The sequence below is a fragment of the Homo sapiens genome, chromosome 15, assembly GCF_000001405.40.
Source record: "Homo sapiens chromosome 15, GRCh38.p14 Primary Assembly".
Classification (NCBI taxonomy): domain Eukaryota; kingdom Metazoa; phylum Chordata; class Mammalia; order Primates; family Hominidae; genus Homo; species Homo sapiens.
In genome coordinates, this window is record NC_000015.10 from 53,997,188 (window position 1) to 54,025,178 (window position 27,991).

The 27,991-nt window shown below is 37.1% G+C and overlaps 1 protein-coding gene across 7 annotated transcripts in view; it reads left to right on the forward strand.

Moving 5' to 3' along the window:
* Positions 1–27,991, forward strand: part of UNC13C (unc-13 homolog C) — a 795,839-nt gene that overhangs the window by 159,586 nt on the left and 608,262 nt on the right. For 6 of the 7 annotated variants that reach the window (XM_047432538.1, XM_017022220.2, XM_017022221.2 and 3 more), the window contains one exon: positions 15,461–18,699. In XM_047432538.1, the coding sequence (XP_047288494.1) occupies positions 15,717–18,699 (2,983 nt within the window). In that variant the 5' untranslated portion in view covers positions 15,461–15,716. Of the gene's footprint in view, positions 1–15,460; positions 18,700–27,991 lie in introns of those variants that run through there. The other variant, XM_017022225.2, reaches the window with a different exon arrangement.

The window sequence follows — 27,991 nt, forward strand, 5'->3', positions numbered from 1 at the left end:
TGCTTATTCGTCATTTGAACACCTTCCTTGGTGAAGTGTTTATTCAAGTCTTTTGACCTTTTTTGTTTATATTGTATTTTTATTGTTAATTTTTTGGGTTGGTGTGTGTGCATGCATGTGAGTGTGATACAAATCAGATGTGTGCATTGCAAAGTCAATCTGTGACTTGCCTTCTTATTTTGTTAATGGTTTTCAAAGAAGACAAGTTTTTAATTTTGATGAATTCCAAGTTATCAAATTTCTGTTTTATATTTAGTGCTTATTTATACTTCTAAGAAATTTTTCTATACCTTTAGTTTGCGTTAACATTCTTTTATATGTTATACTCACAGCATTACAATTTTAGTTCAGCTGAAATTAATTCTGTATGCAGAATTATCTACTTTTCTTGTGTTTATAAAATTGTTCCAGGATCATTTATTGAAAATATCCTAATTGAATTTTTTGTACCTTTGTAAAAATTAAAGTTATCTATACACATGTGTCTATTTCTGGACTTTCTTCTATTCCAATTATTTCTTTTCTCTAGTTATATCAGTATCACTACTACTGCAGCTGTTAGTAAATTTTGAAATTAGGTAGTGTTAATCCTCCAATATTGTTTTATTTTATTTTATTATTATTATTTTCTTTTTGAGACCATCTCACTCTGTTGCCCAGGCTGCAGTGAAGTGGCACAATCTTGGCTCACTGCAACCTCCACCAGCCAGGCCCAAGCTATCCTCCCACCTCAGCCTCCCTAGTAGATGGGACTACAGGTGTGCGCCACCATGACCAGCTAATTTTTGTATTCTTTGTAGAGACAAGGTTTCGTCATGTTGCCCAGGCTGGTCTAGAATTCCTGGGCTTAAGTGATCTTCCTACTTTGGCCTCCCAAAGTGCTAGGATTACAGGTATGAGCCACCACTCCTGGCCCAATCTTGTTCTTTTTATAGAGTGTTTTAAGTATTCTAGAATCTTTCCATTTCCATATACATTTTAGCATTTTATTTCCAAATTCTCAAAACCAAATATACTGGGATTTTGTTGTGGTCTATTAAATCTATAGATCACTTTGGGGAGAACTGATATATTAACGTTGAATTTTTCAACTTATGATCATATATTATCTCTTTAGTTATGCCTTAATTTCTTTCAGCAATATTTGTAGTATTCAGGAAAATATGTCAGTAAATTTTTTCTAAAAATTTTATGATTTTGATGTTATAATTGATTTTTTATCTTATTTTTCAATTTTTTACTGCTAGTAGTGAGAAACATAATTTATCTATACTGAGCTTATGTTCTGTGAGCTTGCCAAATTTAGTTTTCAGCTTTTATACTTATTTTGAAGATTCCTTAAGATTTTCACATAAATACTCATGTCAACTGTGGAAAAATGCAATTTAATTTTTTTCCTTTCTAATACTTTTGATTTCATTGTTTTGCCTTATTGACCTATCTAAATCCTCCAATTCAATGTTAAATACAGGTGGTGAGAGTGGATATACCAAGCTTAATCCCTATCTAAGAGAAAGCATTAAATATTTTGCCTTCAATTATAAGCTCATATGTAGATTTTGATTTTATTAGATTGATGATGTTTTCTTCTATTTTGCTAAGAAATGTTTTATGGCATAAATGGGTGTTGAATTTTGTTAAGTGCCTTTTTTTTCTTTACATGTACATAAGTGATTATATGCTATTTTTCTCCCTTTTTTAATGTGTTCAATTGCATGACTGATTTTCAAAAATTAAATCAGCCTTACATTCCTGGAATAATTATGCTTGATCGTGATCTATTAATCTTTTTACACATTTCTATATTTTATTTGCTAATGTTTTGTTAAACATTTTTCATCTACGTTCATGAGGGATACTAATCTGAATTTTTTCTTCTCTTGTAACATTTTTGTCAAATTTTGAAATCATGGTTTTGTGGCCAAATAAAGCAATTGGACAGTGTTCTTTCCTCTTTTCTGAAAGAGTTTGTTTCAAATTAACACATTTTTCCTTAAAGGTTTCTAGAATCCTCTAGTTTAAAAATTCCGCCTGGAGCTTTCTTTATGGAAGATATTTGATTACATATGTATATGTAAGATATCTATATATATAAATCTATTCTCTCATACATATAAAATATACATAAGATATATATACATAGAGAAAAATTCTTCCTTAGTTTTTATAATATGTGGTTTTGAAGGAATTGATATATTTTATCCATTACTGAATTTATTGACATAAAGTTTGTACAATATTCTCATTGTCGGTTTAATATCTGTATGATTTGTACTTATATTCTGTCTTTCAGTTCTGATATTGGTAATTTGTATTTCTTATTTTCTTCATCAATTTTTATTACCTATTTGTTAACTTCTGGGTTTTTGTCATTGACTTCTTCTCTTATTTTTGTTATTTTCTTCATTCCACTTGCTATGTATTTAATTTGCTCTTTTTTTGACAGCTTCTAAAGGTGAAATTTAGATGATAGATTCTTAGATTATTTAAACCTATAAATTCATGTTTAAGCACTGCCTTTAGCTGTGTCCCATACATTTTGGTATGTTGTTTTTTTAAATTATTCATTTCAAAATATTTCAGTTTTGGGGGGTTTTGACCCATGGATTATTTAGAAGAATGTTGTTTAACTTTAAAAGATAGCTGTGGAGATGGAGTGTTTATAGATATTTCATTCTTATTGTTTTTTAAATGTCTTTTATTATGGTCACGATATATGCTCTGTAAGATGTTAGTCTTTTGAAATATTTGAGGCTTATTTCAAGGACCAGTATGTGTCTTGGTTAGTGAGCTCTGTGCATATGAATAAAGCATATCTCTTCTACAGTTTTTGTATGTAATGAGTATGTGATATTTTGACAGAAAAATTAGATGACTTCCATATTTTCCTTACTTCAAAGACAGCTAAATTGCTTGAGACAAGCAATTCTGAGGGAGAAGTTTTAAGTTAGAATGGAGTATGCCTCCTAAAATAGAGTCTTAAAGAATGATTCAAAGACTTCAAGAAATGTCATAAAGATATCAGAGTCAAGAACAGCATCGGGTTATAATAAAAAGAGTCAATTTCCACAAGCCAAACTAAAACTACTGGATTTTAGTTTTGTGCCCTTAAGCAAGTCAAGTAACCTCTCCAAACTTTGATCTACTGAAGATAATGACACCTCCCTCCATGGCTAAGCATTGTAACTATTCTTGGAATCAAGCCACAGAATATATATGAACATGTTTTGAAAACTAAGTCAAATGAAAATGCAGGTGGTGATATTATTATACCATTACATAGCATAAATCTATAGTTAATTTTAGTAAAATCTAAGAGTAAAACCAATTTTAGATGATCTATCAAGTGGTTTTAACATTGCTAAAATTCATAAGTCAGCCTCTTGTTCTTCACAGAGGTCTTAGAAAATCACATTAGAAATCAGTCTGAAATTGCCACTAATTACTAAACCCAGTGTGTTGCTTTTAAGGATGTTCTTTTGGCATTAGAGTGAATTTATGGACAGATAGAATGTAATAAAACTAAGCAAAATGAGTTAGCAACACCTAATCATATATAAAGAATACTTTGTGAACAGATTTTTGTTTAGACACTCGAGGTGCGGCACTCTTTAGACTTCATAAATTAGACTTGTGGACATCTAATCAATGTACCAACTTCCCAGCAATATTCCTAGTTTCTTGTTATACGTATATTTAATGTAATTTTAGCAAAGGACATATTTTTGGCCAAAATACTTCATTTTGTAGGCAACACTTAGAGAAATACAAAAAAATTTTTTTAGTTTGAACCTTACTCTTTCGTAATGTGTGATAATTTTTACATCTTAGGAGGGTAATAGATTTGTATTAAGGACAAGATAACCCTTTTCCTCTTCCACCCTACTAACATTTAGGTCAAGTTCTGTTTGTAGCTGAGCAGGTTGGTGATAGTTCATGACAGGTTTTGATAAATTTATTACTTTTTTCCAATGAAAAGTCATTAAAGAGCTATTAACTATCAGACACCCTGGTACATTGCTTTGGGAAAATTGAGGCAAAAATGAGGGATTATATTGCCTCATGTTAGATCCTATAATACATGTCATACAGTATAGTAAGGGTGTTTGTATGCATTGGAGAAGGTATCTGTGATGATCAAATGAGCCTGTGACACAGATGGAGGAGTGCATTAGCTCCTGTCTGGGAATTTAAAACACTTTTAACTGCATGTAACACTATAGATTTTTATCGTCCTCACGAACTTTCAAAATTAGTGTGAAATTTACTATACCTTAAAAAATAGACTAATGCAACTGAGCAGCTTGCATTAGTCTAAATGAACCCCAAAGAGCGTCTGTGTCACTGTGGTGATTTCTTGGCTGACCTGCAGTCAGTAAACGAGTAGGGGTAGAGGAAGGGTCTGCTCAGATGGGAATCGTATTATTTAATAATAATGTTAACATTTTTAGTACTTTTGATGTTGTGGGCACTTCTCTAATTATTTCTTATTTAGTCATTATAGCAATATGAGGAAGGTGGTACCATTATCTTATTTGTTAAATGAGGAAACTGAGAAACAGAGAGATTAAATAGTTTGCTCAAAGTGCTCCGTGGGGACACGGCACAGCCATGATCTAAAGTAGCCAATCTGACTTAAGTCTTTCCTCTATACCTTCCCCCACCCACAGGGGATGATAGAGCTCAGGTGGGCACCAAATGACACACATGACTCCGTCCCATCAAGGATGCAAATGCTCCGTGATTTAACTGATGTTATCCCACTTGAACAGTATGATGCGGTATGGTTTGGTAACCATACAGAAATTATTCAAATCAGCCAGGCGTGGTGGCTCACGCCTGTAATCCCAACACTTTGGGAGGCCGAGGCGGGTGGATCACGAAGTCAGGAGATCGAGACCATCCTGGCTAACACGGTGAAACACCGCCTCTACTAAAATTACAAAAATATTAGCCGGCGTGGTGGCGGGCACCTGTAGTCCCAGCTACTCGGGAGGCTGAGGCAGGAGAATGGTGTGAACCTGGGAGGCGGAGCTTGCAGTGAGCCAAGATTGCACCACTGCACTCCAGGCTGGGTGAAAGAGTGAGAATCCATCTCAAAAAAAAAGAAAGAAAAGAAAGAAATTATTCAAATCCTAACTGTATGTTTGAGTAAGTCTCGAGTAAGTCGCTTAGAAGCTCTGAGTCTAGCTTTTTTTTTTCTCTTCTGTCTTTAAAATGAGAATAATATTTTACCTTGCGGGGTTGTTTTCAAGATACAGATTAATCCAAATAAGAGACAGAGTAGACCTTAGGAGACACAGAGGAGCAGGTAATTTGTTCAAATAGGAATATGGCTCCTTGCCTTGGTATAGGACACTCGGGTGGTAATGTGTCAAACGTGGTGGGACAGAAGACGTGAGAAACATTTCAGCTAATGGAAGCTTTTGCTCTAGAATAGCAGTGGTCCTCAATGGCCTTCCTTTATACAGCTTAACTCTCCATCAATAATTCTAACAAATGTCAAAATTACTCACAGGATTTACTTTCAGAAATCTCTTTTAATCTCAAACAGTTTCCAATTCCAGAAAATTACAGACATTGAGTGTAGAGAATCAAGGTAAAAGTCAAATTATTTAAGGACAGAGTTAGATTGCCCTATCAAAGAATGTTGGGCACAGTGGGAAGGTGCCAAACCCTGGGATGTGATTGCTATAGAGGAAAGGCAGCACAGCACAGAGGAAAGAATAGTGAAGTCGGGGTAGGAGGCCTGCGTTTTTGTTCCAGCTCTGCTGTATGAACTAAGGCAAGTGTTTTGACCTTCCCAGCTTTCCTTTTCATGCTGTGTACAATTTGAGGATCAGTGCTGTTCAAACTGCACTCCCCAACCTCAACGACTCTGTAGAGGGTTTCTGAAGGCCGCAATTTTTGTGGAAGCAGTGAAGTGGGACTCTAACCCTGCTGCCTGAATTCAGCTAAAGGAGCTCTGCTTTTTCAATCATATTGAGTTTCAACATCTTATTTTGTTGGAAAAAAAGTGGGAGGGGGCTTGTTTCTGAGGATAAAAATCAAAACAAAACAATACCTTATAACAAAAAAACTCATCTTTGAAATGTTAGAATTCTAAGTTGCTTATCTGTAAGCCAGGGTACCTGTATTCTGCTCTCTGTGCATGTGATTAGGAAAATGTTGCAAAGATTGAAAAAGCAACAGTGCTTATCATCATGTAGCTGGGAATGGGGTCGGGCCATGCCAAGATAGTAAACAGGCAAAGCTTATTCAAGGTTCCTCAGTAGCTCATTTCTGGAATACCCTCTTACCTGTCCCCTTTGAAGGTGGACTGTTCCCATTCTCAGACTTTAATTTTTAAAAAATTGTTGTGAGTGCATAGTAGATGTATATATTTATGGGGTACCTGAGATATTTTGATACAGACATGCAATGTGTAATAATCACAGTGAATAGGGTGTCCATCCCCTCAAGTATTTATCCTTAGTATTACAAACAATCCAGTTATACTCATTTAGTATTTTAAAATGTACAATTAAACTCTTGCTGACTATAGGCCGGGCGCGGTGGCTTAAGCCTGTAATCCCAGCACTTTGGGAGGCCGAGGAGGGTGGATCACGAGGTCAGGAGATCGAGACCATCCTGGCTAACATGGTGAAACCCTGTCTCTACTAAAAATACAAAAAATTCATTGGCATGGTGGCAGGCACCTGTAGTCCCAGCTACTTGGGAGGCTGAGGCAGGAGAATGGTGTGAACCTGGAAGGGGCAGCTTGCAGTGAGCCGAGATCCTGCCACAGCACTCCAGCCTGGGCGACAGAGTGAGACTCCATCTGAAACAAACAAACAAACAAAACAAACAAACAAACAAAAAAACCAAACTCTTACAGACTATAGTCGCCGTAGTGTGCTATCAAATATTAGATTGTATTCATTATTTCTATTTTTTGTACCCATTAACCATCTGCATCTTCCTTCTACCTCCCCGTTACCCTTCCCAGCCTCCAGTAACCATCCTTCTACTTTCTATCTCCATGAGTTCAGTTGCTTTGATTTCCAGATCCCACAAATAAGTGAGAATATGCAATGTTTGTCTTTCTGCGCCTGGCTTATTTCACTTAACATAACTCCAGTTGCATCTATATTGTTGCAAATGACAGGATCTCATTATTCTTTTTACGGCTGAATAGTACTTTATTATGTATATGTACCACATTTATTTATCCATTAATCTGTTGATGGACACTTAGGTTGCTTCCAAATCTTGTCTATTGTGAACAGTACTTCAACAGGCATGGGATTGCAGATATCTCTTTGATATAAGGATTTCTTTTCTTTTGAGTATATATCCAACAGCAGGATTGCAGGATCATATGGTAGCTCTATTTTTAGTTTTTTGAGGAACCTTCAAACTGTTCTCCATAGTGGTTGTAGTAATTTACATTCCCACCAATAGTATACAAGGGCTTCCTTTTCTCAACATCCTCACCAGCATTTGTTATTGCCTGTCTTTGAGATAAATCCATTTTAACCGGAGCGAGGTATCTCATTGTAGTTTTGAGTTGCATCTCTCTAATGATCAATGATATTGAACACCTTTTCATATGCCCATTTTCCGTTTGTATATATTCTTTTGATAAATGTCTATTCAAGTGTTTTGCCCATTTTTAAATTGGATTATTAGATTTTCTTCCTGTAGAGTTGTTTGAGCTCCTTATATATTCCGGTTATTAATCCCTTGTCGGATGGGTAGTTTGCAAATATTTTCTCTCATTCTCTGGGTTGTCTCTTCACTTTGTTGATTGTTTCCTTTGCTGTGCAGAAGCTTTTTAACTTGATGTGACTCCATTTCTCCATGTTTGCTCTGGTCACCTGTGTTTCTGTGACTCAGGCTTCTTAATGTTCTCTCTACTCTCCCTCCAAGTCCTGAGGGATATCCTGATAAACCATTTATACCAAAGTACAATGTGCCTGATAAGCCTTAAAACCTAGGGGCCCAGTGGTGAGACTTGCATTTCAACAAAGACCAAAATTTTAAATAAAAGAAATAAAGCTCTAATAATAAAAACTAGTATAGATTATTCTTGAGTAGGGGAGTTCTTCAAACATACTACATAGGTCACCACCTATTTCCCTAAGATTGGTCCTCCTGGGCACAGTAGTATAGAATAGTGTTTATGAGAAAGGGCTCTAAAACCGGTCACGTTGGTTGCAATGCTGGCTGCATCACTTCCAAGCTATGTGGCTTTGGACTAGATACTCAGGCTCTCGTATTCTTCATTTGTAAAATGGGAATTCATAACAGTATCTACCACAAGTTTACTATCAAACATTAATGTAATCTATAAAAAGCACTCAAGACAATGCCTGGCATATAATAGACATTAAAAATGGAAAAACATATGTAAGAGCTGTTTGGTAAACAGCTTAGAAGAATAATTAAGGACTAAATATCATGGTTCAGACTATATAGACTGTAAGGACTATAATGAAAAGAAAAGATGACAAGTTAAATAACTTTTGTGGAAAACATGAGTCTCGATTTCTCATTTGAATGATTTGGAACAGATTAGGTGGAGGACATTCTAGACAGAGTGAAGAACAAGAATAAAACAATGGAAGAATACACGTGTGCATCCACGGTACCATGAAGTGACCTAGAGCAGAGGGTATACAATCATTCATCGGGAGAAGGAGGAGAAGAAAATGATATTTAAGGGAAATTAGATGGGATATTTAAGGGAAATTAAATCAATGGGAAGGTTTGAAATGGTGGAGGATATTACTTTAGGGGGCCGGTAAACTGCTGTAGTATTCTATGTCTAAAATAAGGAGAATGTAAATTATTATAGTAAAATAATTTTAGAGTTAGGCGATTTGGGCAACTACTTCAGCATCTCTGAGGCTCAACATTCAGCATTCCTGATCATAAACTGAGATACTATCCTTACAAGATTACCATGAAGATTATTTGAGATAAACCACACAAAAGGACTTTGTAGATCCTAAGTGCTATGGAAATATTAGTACTCAGTGCCATTGTTTACTCTTAAACAAAAGTAGCAGCAATGGGAATGAATAAAGTATGTATGTGGGTTGTAGTTGGGTGAAGAAATTCACAAAATAACTGATTAGCTAGAATTAAAGAGTATGCTTGAGTCATTTGACTTTCATTCTTGGGAGAAAGGGATCTTTCTGTTTGTTTTTAAAAAATAGTATATTAGCTTAGGATAAACCTTTTAATCACTTTCTGATTTGATCATTTTTGTTGAAATATTTTAATATTTACTGGTTTATTGCTTTTGCCTTAAAGTAAGGCAAAAAACTAACAGTTCCCCCAAACATTATTTAATGTGTTACTGTGTTCCAGCAATTCTCACTGTCAGAGTCATCCCTGTGATCATCAGTCACATTATATACACATCCTTTTACTCCTTCATGTGGAAAGGATATATAAAACAGGTATAAATCTTCATTGACCTGATAAAGACATTCTAGAGGATGCTTTTTAAAATTTAATCTTTAATATCAACCTATTTGCTCATCATCTGCCTTGTCCCAACTTGTTCCACCTCGACATGCTCCCCTTTATCAATCCTTGTGGCTCCTCACACGCTATTGGTGTATCTGGCTTGCCCTTCCATCTCCAGCTACTCTGGTTTTCTTCTTTGCTGTGTTTGGAGGAGCCTGCTTATAAAGTTACTTGGTCGGTGTGCTGCTCAATGCTGTTTTGCACAGGGGCCCTCTTGCTCAGTTGCACCTTTTCTGCACTTTGTGAGGGTTGCTTCCTTCTCTGTTGCAGTGATTCTGCCCTCCTACCTGATGGGAAGCTTCTTTGAGTCAGCTACTTTTCAAATCACCAAGAATTTACTGTTGAACAGATATGTGGTGAACCATATTTATGTATCACCCTTTTATGTATTTTGAAAGAATTTCTTTTAAATCAGCAATTATAGGGCATTTACTGATGAGGTGCTGTTGTATTGAAAAGCAGAGGCTTTCTTTCTATGTTCTTGTAGGAAAATAATTCTAATCCTAACACAGTCCAGGACACGTAACACAACTTAATGCAAATGAAGGAGCAGTTAAGACTAAGGTTATTCTATTAGTCTAGGATTAAGCAAATAACAGTAAAGAGAAAGTCAAAAAGTCAAGTGATTCAATAGCAAAGACATGGAATCAACCCAAATGCCCATCAAAAATAGATTGGATAAAGAAAATGTGGTACATATACACTATGGAATACTATGAAGCCATAAAAAGGAATGATGTCATGTTCTTTGCAGGGACATGGATGAAGGTGGAAGCCATTATCCTTAGCAAACTGATGCAGGAACAGAAAACCAAACACTGCATCTTCTCACTCATAAGTGGGAGCTATACAATGAGGACACGTGGACTCAGGGAGGGGAACAGCACACACTGGAACCTGTTGCAGGGTGGGTTGTGGGGAGGTAGAGCATTAGGAAAAGTAGCGAAATGTGTGCTAGGCTTAATACCTATGTAATGGGTTGACAGGTGTAGCAAACCAGCATGGCACACATTTATCTATGTAACAAACCTGCACATCCAGCCCATGTAACCCAGAACCAAAAATAACAAGAAAAGCCAGGTAATAAGCATATTTCTATACCAAAGACAGGAATACAGATCAGAATAAGGGCCAGTGAGACAAGCGTGAGTCCTGAGGCCAGGACTTGGGGAGGTGAACTCCTTGGGCTGTACCATAAGAGGTCCTGTCCCTTTGTCTTCTTTGTCTGTCTTGAAAGTTAACCTCTAAATATCCAGCTCACCTGGGTATTTAGTACTTTACTGCCTTTAATAAGGAACATAAAATACTTTACTGCATTTAGTAAGGAACATAAAATTGTTTGTTGATCTGAAAATGCTTTAACTTAATTCTGGTAATGATTTAGCAATAAATTTTTGACTGTTTAAAAGTTCATTATCTCCTTTAGCTCACTAGGGTATTAAATAGTTCTCTTAAAAATGAATATGTTAACATATCTGCAAAACATATTTCCCATTAAACACTAATATTAGTTTCCGAGTTTACACACTTTCTGTTCAAATCTGGGGTTCGGAGTCAAGGCTGTGTTTCATGTTAATCGCATGACCTTAAGCAAGTTTTCAGAAACTAAAGCTTGAGTCACTTTATCTGGAAATTAAAAATACTTATTTTTTACAATTATTGTGAGAATGAAATGAGATAAACTTTAGAAAATTGCATACACAGTGCTTGGTACATAGTAAATAATAATTGAATGTTATTACTAAGGCTTCCTATAACCGCATAGTCTATTGTTTTAATCTCTTTCAAAGACTTTCTTTCCAAAGTCTTAAATCTTATCCCTAAAGTTCATTAATGAAGACAATGTGTAGTTATTTAACTAAAGTTAAAATATCTAGAGAGTAAGTTGGAGCTTTGGAATTCAAGTAGTTGAGATGATGTTATCTTTGCGTTCACCCTCCAGCTACCTCTCATCTACCTTGAGTTTTTCCTGATTTGAGCTATTTTACTTTAAAAAAATGAACTTCAGAGAGAGGAGTAGGTATGTGGGTTTGTATGGGCTGGGTGTAAGGGTTTGTGTCAGTTACCACTGGTAACATTCACTTTACGTACAAATGATTGTTTCATAGACTCCAGGACTAGGACCAAACTACCTTTTTGCTTTGTTTAGCTGTGCAGTTTTTGGTTGTATCTCTTTATCTCTTTGAATCTCTTATCTCCTCATATAATAGGCATAATAATGCCTTTTTTAAAGAGTTTCTGGGAGGATTACGGAGATAATTTAAGTTTCTGAAACATAACAGGTGATCATTAAATGTCATCTTCCTTTCCTATCTCAGTCACTTGTCTGAAGGAAGTTCCACAGCTGGTATTTTGGACTCACCAACTCTTTCCCTAAAGCATCTATGGTTTTATGATGGGATTGTATCACACACACATACAGTAGGAGCTCAGTAACTAGGAAGGTGAGATTTCAATATTAGGAAATTGTTGCTGGATCATAGAGATAAAAGGTATCTTCCCTTTCACTTCTGACTGCTTCTTTAGAATGCTTTTGTTCTTCCTCTTTCATTCTCCAACCTAGCAGAATTCTTAGATTGCCCCCCACTATATCATAATTTTCACATCAGATACCACCTGATTAGTCTTCTGTAATTGCTTCTTGAACTTTTTCACTACTCTTCTCAGCACTAGTAATTAATATTTACTGGGCTTTGCTATCTTCTAGACATTGCTCCAAAAATTTACATGTATTAACTTATTTAAACCTTACAACTATCCTATGAGGAAATGCTATTTCTGTCCCAATATAATTAATGTACAAGATAAAGCAGTAGGAAAGTAATTTTCTTCTTCTTCTTCTTCTTTTTTTTTTTTGTTGAGATGAAATCTCGCTTTGTCACCAGGCTGGAGTGCAGTGGCGTGATCTCGGCTTACTGCAACCTCTGCCTCCCGGGTTCAAGTGATTCTCCTGCCTCAGCCTCCTGCGTAGCTGGGACTACAGGCATGTACCACCACACTTGGCTAATTTTTGTATTTTTAGTACAGATAGGATTTCACCAACTTGGCCAGGATGATCTCGAATTCCTGACCTCATGATCTGCTGCCTTGGCCTCCCAAGGAAGTAACTTTCTTATGACCACACAGCTAGTGTATCACAGAGTTGGGATTCCATTGCAGGTAATCTGGATCAAGGGACTGTGCTGAAAGCCAATAACCATTAGTGCCTACTCCTCAAATGGGATTTCTTAAATTTCAAAACTGTCTACCTTCTGATTGTATTTTGTCAATCCTCTGCTCCCCATCAGAGGCATCCCTCTCTGGACAAAGTGGATGCTTCTCCACCTTTGCACATGACATGAATGTCTCAGATGCTTCCCTTCTGCTCACACTGCTTCTCCTTCTCTGGATTGTGTAAGGCCCAGTGCAGCCAGTTTAGGCTTACTGGAACCTATATTGTTTATGTTTTAGTTCATGGTTTTATTACTTTCATTCATTTACATGATCACCTATCTGACAAACAGTATGAGTCTATTATGTATAAAGGAATATAAAAATTTAAAGTTAAATAGAATATGGCTCCTGCTCTTCAAGAGTTTATAGTCAGATAGGAGAGGCAGACATGCAGATAAAATATTTAACGTAAATAATTATGGTATTTTGAGAGTACAATGCAGGAGCACAGAGGAGGAAGTGCTGTATGCTGAGGAGGTAAAATGAGCTGATGTTGATCCTTGGCTGGGTCTCAAATATATAGATATTCTATAGATATTTATGAAAGAGACATGTGAATAGAGAGGGGAAGGGGAAAGGAATCGGAGGAAGAAGGAACAGCATGGAAAAAGGCCCTTTAGTGAGGTAAAAATATGGTAATCAGGGAACTGCTACTACTTCACCATTGCTGAGGCAGATGTGCTTATGGGAGTGACAGAAAATAAGGCTGCTAAAATAACGTTTCAAGAAGGAGGACATATATTTTTAATTGTATGAATTTTAGAAATTTAGGATTTGAAAAAAGAGTCAAATTATCATTAGGAAGACCACGTCGGATACAATTGCCATAGTCTAGATGAGAAATGACAGTGTTCCTTACTAAGGCATTACTATGTCACCTCAGGTATGAACATGGGATGGATGACACATGATCTAGAATGACTCCTGGGTATATGCTGTGGGCAAGTGGATGATTATGATGACATTATTGAGATTAGTAATTCAGGAAAATTGCTAGGTTCTGGATGGGGTTTAATTTGGGGCAACTAGGTGGAGATACTAAGTGGCTGAAATGTGGCCAATTCTTCGATAAAGAGTGGCTAGGAGAGAGATGAGCTCAGTTTGGGTGGTTGCTGAAATGGTTTTGGAGTTTAAACATAATTTTTACAGATAGTGAGGGCTGGATAATGAATGATATTCTGGCTAGAGAGGACATAAAAGTTACTGGGGCATGAAAGAGTGTGGAGCCCTTAGTGAATAACAGGTTGTTCTCTGTGGTTGGAATACGAGCAAGTGAGTTCGTGTGTGCAACTGTGGACACCTGTTCCTGAGTTTGCATTTGGTGGGCTTCATTTCGCATTGAACTTTCCCGCTCAAACTTTTTCTAACAATTGTTGCCTAGAACAGTAGCTTTGAACCAGTAATGCCAGTCAGGAAATTTAGATTTGAAAACATCAGAGGCATTAACAGAATTGCTACTTTGATTTAAACAAAAAGAACCATCTGTTTCTAAGTTTGGAAGACCAAAGATTTTGGATTGAGTGATGGGTAGAAAATTTTATTCGACTAAAATTAGTTTAAAAATAATTTATCTACCTGATTGCAGCTTAACTTTCCAAAGCCTTTTCTTCACAGGGAGATGTCACATAGGAGTATAAAAAATGCTTTTTAAATTAACTCAAAAGTAAATTTCTTGACATTTTTATTAGTAGAAAATAGGTCCTGGTTTGTGTTTGTGAATGAATACCAAATTGTTTCAGAGCAGAAGAGTTATACCCTGATAGTATTTGAAACCCAGAAAGACTTGGACTTCTTTAGAGTTCATCTCTTTCGCTCCATCTTTTCTCCTCCTCTTCTATGCTCCCCTTGTCTCTTGTGGAGCTTGGCTCCTGGCCAGAACATGTATCCCCAAATCCCCTGCAGAGCCTGATTGAAATGCAACTGGCAGATTTCCAAGTGGAGAGAGCTGATAAAAGAGCAGATTTCTGAGACAATCTGTAGTTTATGATGTGTTCTTTAATGAATTAAGTAGATTATCTTCCCAAACACATACTGGAATACCAACAAAGCCTTTTGACTGTTACTATTATTCTGGGTTACATTTCACTGATAAAATATTAAGTTCAATTCAACAAAACTTTGAGTTCCTACTAATATGAGGCCCTGTGCTGGCAAACCAGCAAAATTAAATGTAAACGTTATTTTCTTTTTCTTCACATAATTCAAGAAACTAGTCATCATAGAGATTATTTATTTATGTGGTCAGAAAAAGATTATTTGAATGAATCAAAAGAGGTTATATATATATAGATAATATTAATTTGTGAATTTTGAATATCTTGGATGTGAGGGGAATATACATAGATTTAAATCCTTACATTTGTGTAAGTAAACATGATATTAGGAAAGAAAGTAGAGTAGAAATGACTTTATGAAGTCAATATGGCTGTATAAATTGACTGTCGTATTACTCAATGTTTTCTAAATAATCATAATTACCTTTTATTACTATTTCAGTTGTGTCCACCCATAAATGATTTATCAAAAAACATTATAAACATAGTTATTGGTAGTGATTTGCTTTCAGTAGTTATTTTAAAAGTAAATTTACATTGAAATTCATATATTCTCCTACTTCCTCTGCAATTTTTCACACATTGTGTATTATGAATACTTTTGAAACGTGTTGGAAATGGAAGAAATCTAGAATTGAATTCTGATATTTATTTTAACATTCATTTCTTTTTAGACACTACATGGAGTTATGTGGAAATGAGAGAGATTCATGAAACCCCTCCTCCAGGAAAGAATGTCTTTCACAGATGGAGCTTTGCTTCTGGTTTGCACAGGACAGCGACAATGTGGCAGAGCCATGCCTGCCCTTCCTGCTCTTTCCAGTGATTCACAGAACTTCTGAACAGTGATGCTTGCCTTGGATTTTCAGGTTTTCATCCTGATACTTGTTTACTTTTCTGGGGCAGAAAAGCTTGCACTAATTGCTCTCCATGGTGGCTAATTTTTTCAAGAGCTTGATTTTACCTTACATTCATAAGCTTTGCAAAGGAATGTTTACAAAGAAATTGGGAAATACAAACAAAAACAAAGAGTATCGTCAGCAGAAAAAGGATCAAGACTTCCCCACTGCTGGCCAGACCAAATCCCCCAAATTTTCTTACACTTTTAAAAGCACTGTAAAGAAGATTGCAAAGTGTTCATCCACTCACAACTTATCCACTGAGGAAGACGAGGCCAGTAAAGAGTTTTCCCTCTCACCAACATTCAGTTACCGAGTAGCTATTGCCAATGGCCTACAAAAGAATGCTAAAGTAACCAACAGTGATAATGAGGATCTGCTTCAAGAGCTCTCTTCAATCGAGAGTTCCTACTCAGAATCATTAAATGAACTAAGGAGTAGCACAGAAAACCAGGCACAATCAACACACACAATGCCAGTTAGACGCAACAGAAAGAGTTCAAGCAGCCTTGCACCCTCTGAGGGCAGCTCTGACGGGGAGCGTACTCTACATGGCTTAAAACTGGGAGCTTTACGAAAACTGAGAAAATGGAAAAAGAGTCAAGAATGTGTCTCCTCAGACTCAGAGTTAAGCACCATGAAAAAATCCTGGGGAATAAGAAGTAAGTCTTTGGACAGAACTGTCCGAAACCCAAAGACAAATGCCCTGGAGCCAGGGTTCAGTTCCTCTGGCTGCATTAGCCAAACACATGATGTCATGGAAATGATCTTTAAGGAACTTCAGGGAATAAGTCAGATTGAAACAGAACTTTCTGAACTACGAGGGCACGTCAATGCTCTCAAGCACTCCATCGATGAGATCTCCAGCAGTGTGGAGGTTGTACAAAGTGAAATTGAGCAGTTGCGCACAGGGTTTGTCCAGTCTCGGAGGGAAACTAGAGACATCCATGATTATATTAAGCACTTAGGTCATATGGGTAGCAAGGCAAGCCTGAGATTTTTAAATGTGACTGAAGAAAGATTTGAATATGTTGAAAGCGTGGTGTACCAAATTCTAATAGATAAAATGGGTTTTTCAGATGCACCAAATGCTATTAAAATTGAATTTGCTCAGAGGATAGGACACCAGAGAGACTGCCCAAATGCAAAGCCTCGACCCATACTTGTGTACTTTGAAACCCCTCAACAAAGGGATTCTGTCTTAAAAAAGTCATATAAACTCAAAGGAACAGGCATTGGAATCTCAACAGATATTCTAACTCATGACATCAGAGAAAGAAAAGAGAAAGGGATACCATCCTCCCAGACATATGAGAGCATGGCTATAAAGTTGTCTACTCCAGAGCCAAAAATCAAGAAGAACAATTGGCAGTCACCTGATGACAGTGATGAAGATCTTGAATCTGACCTCAATAGAAACAGTTACGCTGTGCTTTCCAAGTCAGAGCTTCTAACAAAGGGAAGTACTTCCAAGCCAAGCTCAAAATCACACAGTGCTAGATCCAAGAATAAAACTGCTAATAGCAGCAGAATTTCAAATAAATCAGATTATGATAAAATCTCCTCACAGTTGCCAGAATCAGATATCTTGGAAAAGCAAACCACAACCCATTATGCAGATGCAACACCTCTCTGGCACTCACAGAGTGATTTTTTCACTGCTAAACTTAGTCGTTCTGAATCAGATTTTTCCAAATTGTGTCAGTCTTACTCAGAAGATTTTTCAGAAAATCAGTTTTTCACTAGAACTAATGGAAGCTCTCTCCTGTCATCTTCGGACCGGGAGCTATGGCAGAGGAAACAGGAAGGAACAGCGACCCTGTATGACAGTCCCAAGGACCAGCATTTGAATGGAGGTGTTCAGGGTATCCAAGGGCAGACTGAAACTGAAAACACAGAAACTGTGGATAGTGGAATGAGTAATGGCATGGTGTGTGCATCTGGAGACCGGAGTCATTACAGTGATTCTCAGCTCTCTTTACATGAGGATCTTTCTCCATGGAAGGAATGGAATCAAGGAGCTGATTTAGGCTTGGATTCATCCACCCAGGAAGGTTTTGATTATGAAACAAACAGTCTTTTTGACCAACAGCTTGATGTTTACAATAAAGACCTAGAATACTTGGGAAAGTGCCACAGTGATCTTCAAGATGACTCAGAGAGCTACGACTTAACTCAAGATGACAATTCTTCTCCATGCCCTGGCTTGGATAATGAACCACAAGGCCAGTGGGTTGGCCAATATGATTCTTATCAGGGAGCTAATTCTAATGAGCTATACCAAAATCAAAACCAGTTGTCCATGATGTATCGAAGTCAAAGTGAATTGCAAAGTGATGATTCAGAGGATGCCCCACCCAAATCATGGCATAGTCGATTAAGCATTGACCTTTCTGATAAGACTTTCAGCTTCCCAAAATTTGGATCTACACTGCAGAGGGCTAAATCAGCCTTGGAAGTAGTATGGAACAAAAGCACACAGAGTCTGAGTGGGTATGAGGACAGTGGCTCTTCATTAATGGGGAGATTTCGGACATTATCTCAATCAACTGCAAATGAGTCAAGTACCACACTTGACTCTGATGTCTACACGGAGCCCTATTACTATAAAGCAGAGGATGAGGAAGATTATACTGAACCAGTGGCTGACAATGAAACAGATTATGTTGAAGTCATGGAACAAGTCCTTGCTAAACTAGAAAACAGGACTAGTATTACTGAAACAGATGAACAAATGCAAGCATATGATCACCTTTCATATGAAACACCTTATGAAACCCCACAAGATGAGGGTTATGATGGTCCAGCAGATGATATGGTTAGTGAAGAGGGGTTAGAACCCTTAAATGAAACATCAGCTGAGATGGAAATAAGAGAAGATGAAAACCAAAACATTCCTGAACAGCCAGTGGAGATCACAAAGCCAAAGAGAATTCGTCCTTCTTTCAAAGAAGCAGCTTTAAGGGCCTATAAAAAGCAAATGGCAGAGTTGGAAGAGAAGATCTTGGCTGGAGGTATTCATGTTTAAATGCTACATTGTGAGCTAATTGTGTTTTAACATTGGGTAGCACTTCTTTAGAGCATGCTCTGTGTTTACTTGGGTGAAAGAGTTTACTTGCAATGACTTTCCATGCTTTACTCTGAGGAGCATTTTGTTTTACTCAGGCAGCTCTCCTAAGAAGTTGGGCTTGATGATTTAAAATCAAAGAATATGTTAAATGGGTCATATTGGAATGAGCCCAAACTTAACCCAACACATTGTGGATCAGATTTCTCTGCTAAATTTAGGCACAAACCCCATTTAACATCAACTAACTTTGTGGCATCAGTTGTCAAACAAAAGTTGAGTGAAACCAAAGGTTAAGCCAACAGCCTGGCATCTATTTCTTGGTTCCATTAAGTTTACAGGGATGGAGAAAAAGGTGTAATCTTAAAAAAAAATGTGAAAAGATGGACTCTGAGACTTAACCACTCATTTTCCTATCCATTCAACAATTTAGGGGTTGCCCATAGGAAAAGTTGTGTGTGCACAGGACAGTCCCATGGAAGACCATGGACTCCCTTACAACCTACTGGCACAGTCAGGGAGAGCAATAGAGCCAAGGCCCTAGGTCATGTCTGAGTGGTCACAAGCTATTCTTTGAGAAGAGATCAGTAAGGGGATAGAGTTGAGTGGTTACCTTCTTAAGAATAAAGTCCCTTCTCCACCATGGAAATGAGAAGAGTACCTTAACTAACTATTTTAATTGCTTTCTTGTGGGAACAACTTTGGATTATATACTTTTGGAAAGTGATAGTTATATGTAAATGTAAGAGTTTGTTTACTTTCTATTTCTCAACCCAACTTCCTCCGCACTTATTCCACTCCCTTACCATTTATTTTAGTTGCATGCTAATTACTTACATTTTTGGAATAGTCTGTTACTATCTAAATTTAAATGAATTGCATATTATTATTATGTTCCCTGATCATGGGATTGTCATCATTAATTAAGCTATTACTCTACATAATACTTCATAAAGGTGTATATGACCAAGTGTTACTTGCTATTATCAAATAACATAATAATATCTGCAGCCAGTAGCTGGTTATATCTTCTCTGTCTTGACCAAAGCTGTGATCAAACTCCCCTAAATGAGCCATTTTGTGGTTGATGTGAGTAGATTATTGAATAATCAGAAATCTTTACTGCTAAACTATTTGAATTTCTAAGACAACTGAAATAACTAGGGTTTGCCACTCTAAAAATCTATCTTTATAAAACAACACAGTTTATGTAATTTATTTAGGAATGATATAAGTCAAAGGGATCTTGAATGCACTGGCTGTTGCAACATTTTGTGTTTTTGTTTTTTTTGCAGGGATGGGTAGTTCTCAACTATATTTAAAACTGATTTAAGAGTGAAAAGTAGTCAAATGTTATGCAAATGTAATGCATATGGTAATAATATCTATCTTATATTGGAGTGATTTTTGAGAGTCGGATATCCTTGTTACTGAAATTCATTTGCTATTTCTTGGGATACAGGCCAGCAGTTTGACAATGTATTTTATTTGCTGTTGATTCAGAGTTTACTCAAAGGCAAATGAAGACTAAGAAGTGCATGAGCATGTGTGTGTGTGTGTGTGTGTGTGTGTGTGGTTTGTATATATCTGTTGTGACATAATAGAGAAATGTTTTAATGGCAGTTGGTTAATGTAGTTGCTTGAAATGTTAGGCAATATCATAAATAGGACAAGATGATACATTTCAGAAAAATGGATCTTCTTCAACTTCTAAAAATTCCAAATTAGCAAGCCTCTGCAAAGCAGATTGTTACTGATGGTGACCCTTCAGCCAGCTAACAAACTTAGTCATCCAGTGAGTGGCACTTAACCTTGGAATACACACATGCTCTTGGTTATCTATAGCCACCTGGTTAAGAATAAAACCACGGATAAAACAATCCTGTGCCATTTACCTGCATATGAGGCCTGGCTATAGAGGACTCAGACCCCTCCATCCTCTTGGAGCTTGGCTTCTTATTATCCTGTGAGCCAACTTTGAATGGAATCTGTTGGATATCATCTGTCCTAGAGGAAATCAGCACACACATCTTTAAGATGGTCTCTGGTTGCTGAAAGGTACCAGATTGACTACCCAGGAAGCTGCGGTAGCCTAGATTTTAAAGGCTATCTCTGCTCCCCTTGGCAGCAGTCAGGCAGTTTTCCCCATCCTGTGCCACCCATATGCCTCTGAAGGAAGGACAGCCAAAGAAGGACATTTTCCAGGCCCCTTTCCTGCTCAGAGCATCCCAAAGAGGTGCCAATTGTCATGATGGTTTCTGTTCCCATGGCCATCTGCTTACTGGGCTTTGGGAAGATGCCAACATATTTTTTCTCTCCATGGCTACGTAGTTATCACGAGGTAGCAGTGCTGTCTTTTCTCCATAAGTAACCTTAGCCAGATTGGAGTGCAGAGCTCTTGCTGTCAAACTGTGGGATGCTGTCTCTCTGACACAGCTTTATGGAATTATAAGCTCACACATTTGAATTATTTATTTCAACTGTTGTCTTCAGGATCCAGAGGACCAGAAAACTCCAATGTTTATAGATGTGGATATTTGATGATAATGTTTCAGAGAACTTTCCACCTTAAACAGCATTCCAGTAGGAAGAGACCTTAGAGTGTGTGTAGCCAGAAGCTTCCCCATGAGTCAAATTCTTCCATTGTTGCTGGCCCCTGCTGAGTTGGCACCATTTGTGCAGCTGTCTTGATTCCTACACCATGATGGTGACTCTCTGATCCCCCACCTTCAGCCTTGTACCACCTATCAACTGGAATTAACTATTTATTGTCTCCTCAAAATTCCCATGTACTTGCCTCTTATCACACTGACTCTCATATTTATGTGCATTTCTCATTTTCTATTCCAGAATAGTCTAGAGGCAAGTTGTCTTTTTTTTTAATCCTTTAACTTGTACTGTGCCTAGACCAGTGTTTTATACCCATATGGCATTGAGTTAATATGTGTTGGATAAATGCCTGAATCAAGAGAGGTGGGATACTAAATAAAAAAACACAAACTTTAAAGTCAAATCCAAATTCAAACTGTGGCTTTTAATCGCTAAGACTATGACTTTATCTCCTGAGAACTCAGAAGAATAGACATAAAAGCTTATTACTCAGAATTACTATATATTAGGCCCTTTCCAGGCTGTTTACCTGTTTTTCATTCTTTTACTTCTTATAACACCACTATTAATTTTATTTTATTATTATCCCATTTTACAGGTGAGGAAGCAGATGCTGAAAACTTACCTAGCTTAATGTCATTCAGCTAATAAGTGGTGGATCCAGAATTACATGGATTGTTACTTTGGCTATTTAGAGCAGCAGTATGCTTATTCACTTCAAAGGTTGTTTTTATTCAAGTTTTAAGTTGGAAAAACTGATAAGAGATGAAGAACAGAGTCAGCCACTAGGTTTAGTTCAACTCAGAGATATTCACGAGAAACCAGTATGAATATGAAAGGCACTAAGTTTCTGGGACTCTCAGGTTTTGATGTGAAATAGTTCATTCTCAGTGTTTCTACTTCAAATCCCTGGTTCATTTTATAAATCAAGATTTGTAGAGTGCAATAAATACTGTACTATAACAGCTGCTTGAAGGATGTTGTATTTGCAGTCTGATACACTTTACCTGAAATCAGAACCTGACGTCAGTTTGAAGTATTAATAGTTTTCCTAGCAGAAGACCAAAAATCTTGTTCTGAAAGAGACTGTGATATCGGAAATTAGCATACTTCCTAGTTTTTACATCATGTATATATTCTGTTTTCTGAATGGTTATAAAACTGTCAGAATATGTTGACTTCCAAGTAAGGATATAAAACTGAAGGTATTAAAATTTCCTAAGGTAGATACTTTGTTAGACTAGTGGTTCCTAATCTGGCTGGTTGTTAGAATCATCTGGAAAGCTTTTGTAGTAGTTGTTCCTGGGATGTTATTTTAAAATGACCAATTATTAGCATATTTTCACAGATTATTGTGACTTGGTGGTCCTACAACGGGGCCAGGCATATGCCTTTAAATTACACGAGTTACTGATGTAATATATGCCCTTTAATAAAACAACAGCAACAACCACACACACAATTAAAAACATAATAAAACAAAATCTAAAATGAAAAGTAAAAAAGCTCACCTGTGGACAGTCCAGGTCAGGAGGATGCAGTCTGGCTATTCAGATGCTCCCTTGACGGTTCTGAGGGATGTGATCATCAGAACACATTTGAAGAGCACTACTAAAAGCTATGTAGCAAATATACCTGCTCACACGGCGTTCTTAATTTCCCCCTTTTTAAACTTGAAAGAGATAAAATCAGTCTAAGGAAAAATATTAATAATTTTTTTCTTTTTTTCTTTTTTTTTTTTTTGAGATGAAGTCTCATTCTGTCACCCAGACTGGAGTGCAGTGGCACGATCTCAGCTCACTGCAACCTCCTCCTCCTGGGTTCAAGCGATTCTCCTGCCTCAGCCTCCCGAGTAGCTGAGACTACAGGCATGCACCACCACGCCCAGCTAATTTTTTTTTTTTTTTTTTTTTTAATTAGAGATGGAGTTTCACCATATTATCCAGGCTGGTCTCGAACTCCTGACCTCGTGATCTGCCTGCCTTGGCCTCCCAAAGTGTTGGGATTACAGGCGTGAACCACCACACCCGGCCGATTTTTCTTAACTTAAAAACAAAAGATGTTTTGTCAACCTTTCAGAGTTAAGTAGATTATTACATTTTGTGAAAAGGCTTTAGTAATATCTACATATGAAAATAGAGCAATAAAGATGTATTCCTTAAAAGGTATGTATGAATTTAAAATTTTAGAAATCATCTGTATCAAAAGTCCTAGGGGATTTTCCTGTAGAAACCATTTAGTGCATAATTTTGCCTACAAATAAATTCCTATCCTTCCACATTTTATCTGACAACTTGGGGCTTTTTTTTTGTTTGTTTTTGGTAAATCTTCCTTCAAGCATAGCAATACTGGTAATAGTAGAAGGCAACTTATTTGCAAAATGTTCCATAAAAATGCAGTGCATAACAATAACCTTTTGTCTAGTATTTTTTGCTTCTAATACACTAGAATTATCTATAAAGTGATTCTCTTGTTTTTTTAATTGACATTTTTATTTGACAGTAACATTTTTAATCGACAATAACAATTGTGTATATTTATGCGGTATAATGTAATGTTTTGAGTTACATATACATTGTAGAAAGATTCAAAGAAGCTAATTAACATATCCATCACCTTACATATTTTTTTTTTAGTGAGAACATGACAAATCTATTCTTTCAGTAATTTTGAGATATACAATGTTATTATTGACTGTGGTCACCATACCGTGCAGTAGATCACTAACATTTATTCCTCCAGTCTAGCTCAAACTTTTTACCCTTTGATCAACATCTTCCCTTTTCCCACCTCACTCTCTACCCCAACCCTTAGCCTCAGGTAATCACCTTTCTAAAATCTGTTTCTCTGAGATTGACTTTGTTAGATTCCACATATAATTGAGATCATACAATACTTTTCTTCCTGTGCCTGACTTATTTCACTTAGCATAATGTCCTTCAGTTACATCCGTGTTGTCACAATTACAGATTCCTTTCTTTTTAAAGACCGTGTAGTGTTCCATTGTGTGTACATCTACTTTTTTATCCATTCATCCACTGGTAGACACTTAGGTTGCTTTCATATCTTGGCTATTGTGAATATTGCTGAAGTAAACATGGAAGTGCAGCTATCTCTTTGAAATATCAGTCTCAATTCCTTTGGATATGCAGCCCTGAGATGCGTAATGACACTTCAGTTGATGATGGACTGCATATATGACAGTCTGTATACATGATGGTGGTCCCAAAAGATTATAATACTGTATTTTTACTGTACCTTTTCTATCTTTGAATATGTTTAGAAACACAAACCTTTACCAGTGTGTTACAATTGTCTACAGTAATCACTATAGTAACATGCTCTATATGTTAAATTGTAAATGTTTATGTATCTAAACATATCTAGCAGCAATAGGCTATACCATATAGCTTAGGTGTATAGTAGGTGATACCATTTACGTTTGTCTAAGGTACAGTCTATGATGGTCAAGCAATGACAAAATCACCTAATGACTCATTTCTCAGAACATATCCTTGTTGTTAAGCAACACATGACTGAATATGAAGAAGTGGGATTGGTAGATCATATTTTCTAGTAATTATATTTTTAGTTTTGAAGGAACCTCCATAGTATTTTCTGAAATGGCCGTGCTAATATACGTTCCTACCAACAATGTACAAGAATTTCCTTTTCTCTACATTCTCACCAACACTTGTTATTATTCATCTTTTTGATCGTCATTGAAACAGGTGTGAGGTGATATCACACTGTGGTTTTTTGGCTGTTTCTTTTTTTTTTAAGCAACAGGTTCTCTGTCACCCAGGCTGGAGTACCTTGACGATCATGGCTCACTGCAGCCTCAAACTTCAGGGATCAAGAGATTCTCCTGCCTCAGCTTCCAGAGTAGCTGGGATTACAAGCAAAAGCCACCCCAGCCCAGCCTCTTTGTGGTTTTAATTTGCATTTCCCTGAGATACTGAGCATTGTTTGATATATCTTCCATTTACATCTATCCTTTTGATAAACGTCTGCTCAGGTTCTTTGCCTATTTTAAAACCAGGTTACTTATTTTCTTGCTATTGACTTGTTTGGGTTCCTTATGTATTTTGGACATTAGCCCCTTATCAAATATATGGTTTGCAAATAATATTTTCTTCCAATTCATGGATCGTCTCATCTTTCTGTAAATTGTTTCCTTGGCTATGCAGAAGCTTTTTACTTCGATGTAATTCCATTTGCCTATTTTGCTTTTGCTGTCTGTGCTTTCGGAGTCAAAGGAGACCTTTGAGGAGTGAAGTGGCCAAGGGCCCCTAGAAGCAGTAGAGAACCAGCTAGGGACACTACTTCTTGCTAGAGATAAAGCCTAAAAGATCCAACAGTAAAATTCATCTAGGAGGCAAGACTAGAACCCAACGAATACATGTGTTTGTAAATTGGTTCAGAGGGGAGAAAGATAATATGTATAAGGAGATTAGTCCCAACTGGAGCCAAAGTGTTTAAGTGTATTCTGGTGTGAGATGGAACTAAGAGAAAGGGAAAGAAACCAATAGGTATGCTATTCTATCAGACTCAGTTCTAGGCATTTTAATTTCATACTTGTCACCATAGCTTTGGGAAGAAGGTACTGTTAGCCTCATCTTACAAGTGAGATGACTGAGTCTCAGAGGAGCAAAACAAGGAAGGCCCAACATCATATAGCGAATTAAGGGTGTTGGTTGACTCCTATTGTGCCTTGCCCAGAATCCAAAGTCGATGCTCTTTCCCTGACATCCTGTTGCCAATGCAGGCCAGTCTTGTCATGAAAGATTATGGCTTATGTTTTTAAGCATCTGTGTAAGTTGTACATTTAAAGTCAGCCAATTTTGTGTTAGCAAATGTAGTTACATACTGAGCTCTCTTAATAAAAGGTGAGTGATAATAGTTTGTGCTAAGAGATAGTATCATATTTTTAGGAAGTTTTGTAAGTCTGGGGAGGTGATGCTAGTCACTTGAAAAGATTTTATTAGGGGTGAAGAAGTTAAGTGCCAATAAGATTAGTTTTTGAGAATTACAAAATTTTTATAGAAGGTAAGAAATTCAAAAGGATATACAAAGACCCATGAACAGGAACAACAAAAATGTTGCAGAGTTCATAAACACAGTTAAGTTATGTTATAACTATTAAATGGCTCCCAAACTATAAGACTGGAATACCTGTATTTGCAGGGAAGCTAAAGGCATGGTGCATTTTTTGAGGAAAATATTAACTGACGATGAAAGATGGCAGTTTCCAGGTTGTACTAGGAATGTTGTTGCAAAGTGTACAATGCAAAATACTGTATCTCAGAGATTCAAGAAATGATGTTATGTCAAAACCTCAGATGAATAGTTTTTATTTGCTTGTTTCTGCTCATGTCATCATTCATGTTATTTCTTCAAGCTCAGAGACATATTTTTATAGAAATTATAAATCATTTTTGAGATTGCTGTGTGGAATAAGATAAACTCTGAACTCTGGTGTAAGATAGCAAAGGATAGCCTAATCAATTATGATGAATTATGTGAGAATGGGGTAGATGGAATAGCTACATCCAGTGGGGCAATTTAGGCTCTGGCATAAAACTCAGGAACAAGAGAGGAGACCGACTCCAGTGCAGCAGAGAAAACCTGCCACCTGGAGAGTACACGTCAGACCACAGATGATGGCTTCTAAAGCATTTAGGACTCTAACTCTGGATATCACTTGGATAGGCTCTCAACATCCCAGAATGAGAACTATTAAGAGAAATACAAATCCTAGGAGGGATTGAGGTACTAGAGAGGTTATCAAGAGAATTACCTAGTTACCTAAACTAAGACCCAAGGTGAGAAATGAGTATCTGAAACAGGTAAAAGCTTTATTGTTCAGAAGGTATCCAAGGACTGAGCCCAATTTGCAAGCAAAATGTTTTGATGCTGAGTCCAAGGGAGATGGACTCAAATAGAACTGTTTCCTGCACTAAAGATAGTAGCTTAGGTTGCCTCCATAGGCTGTAAAACTGGACAGAGCTAAATGCATTGATTGAGTTCTACACCATGGCTCATTTCAGCCTATTGTATGCTTCTGTTAAAAAAATATGCTATGAATGCCGGGCGCGGTGGCTCACGTCTGTAATCCCAGCACTTTGGGAGGCCGAGGCGGGCGGATCACGAGGTCAGGATATCGAGACCATCCTGGCTACACGGTGAAACCCCGTCTCTAAAAACACAAAAAAATTAGCCGGGCGTGGTCCCGGGCGCCTGTAGACCCAGCTACTCTGGAGGCTGAAGCAGGAGAATGGCGTGAACCCGGGAGGCGGCGCTTGCAGTGAGCCGAGATGGCACCACTGCACTTCAGCCTGGGCGTCAGAGAGAAACTCCGTCTCAAAAAATAAAAAATAAAAAATAATAAAAAAATGCTATGGAATTTTGCTAACCACTTCATTCATCAAACTTGATTTACTGACTCTCAGCTACTTCCAAATATTAAATAAACCATCTGAAGATAAAAGTGATTAATAATTGGCAGATTCAAACAACTGTGAAATAAGAAGAAATGATCCATAGGCAATGCCAAAAGGTCCCAAGATATATTGAGCAATGTCACTTTATTTAGAATAAGTATGTCTCTCCCTCATCCCTCCAAGCAT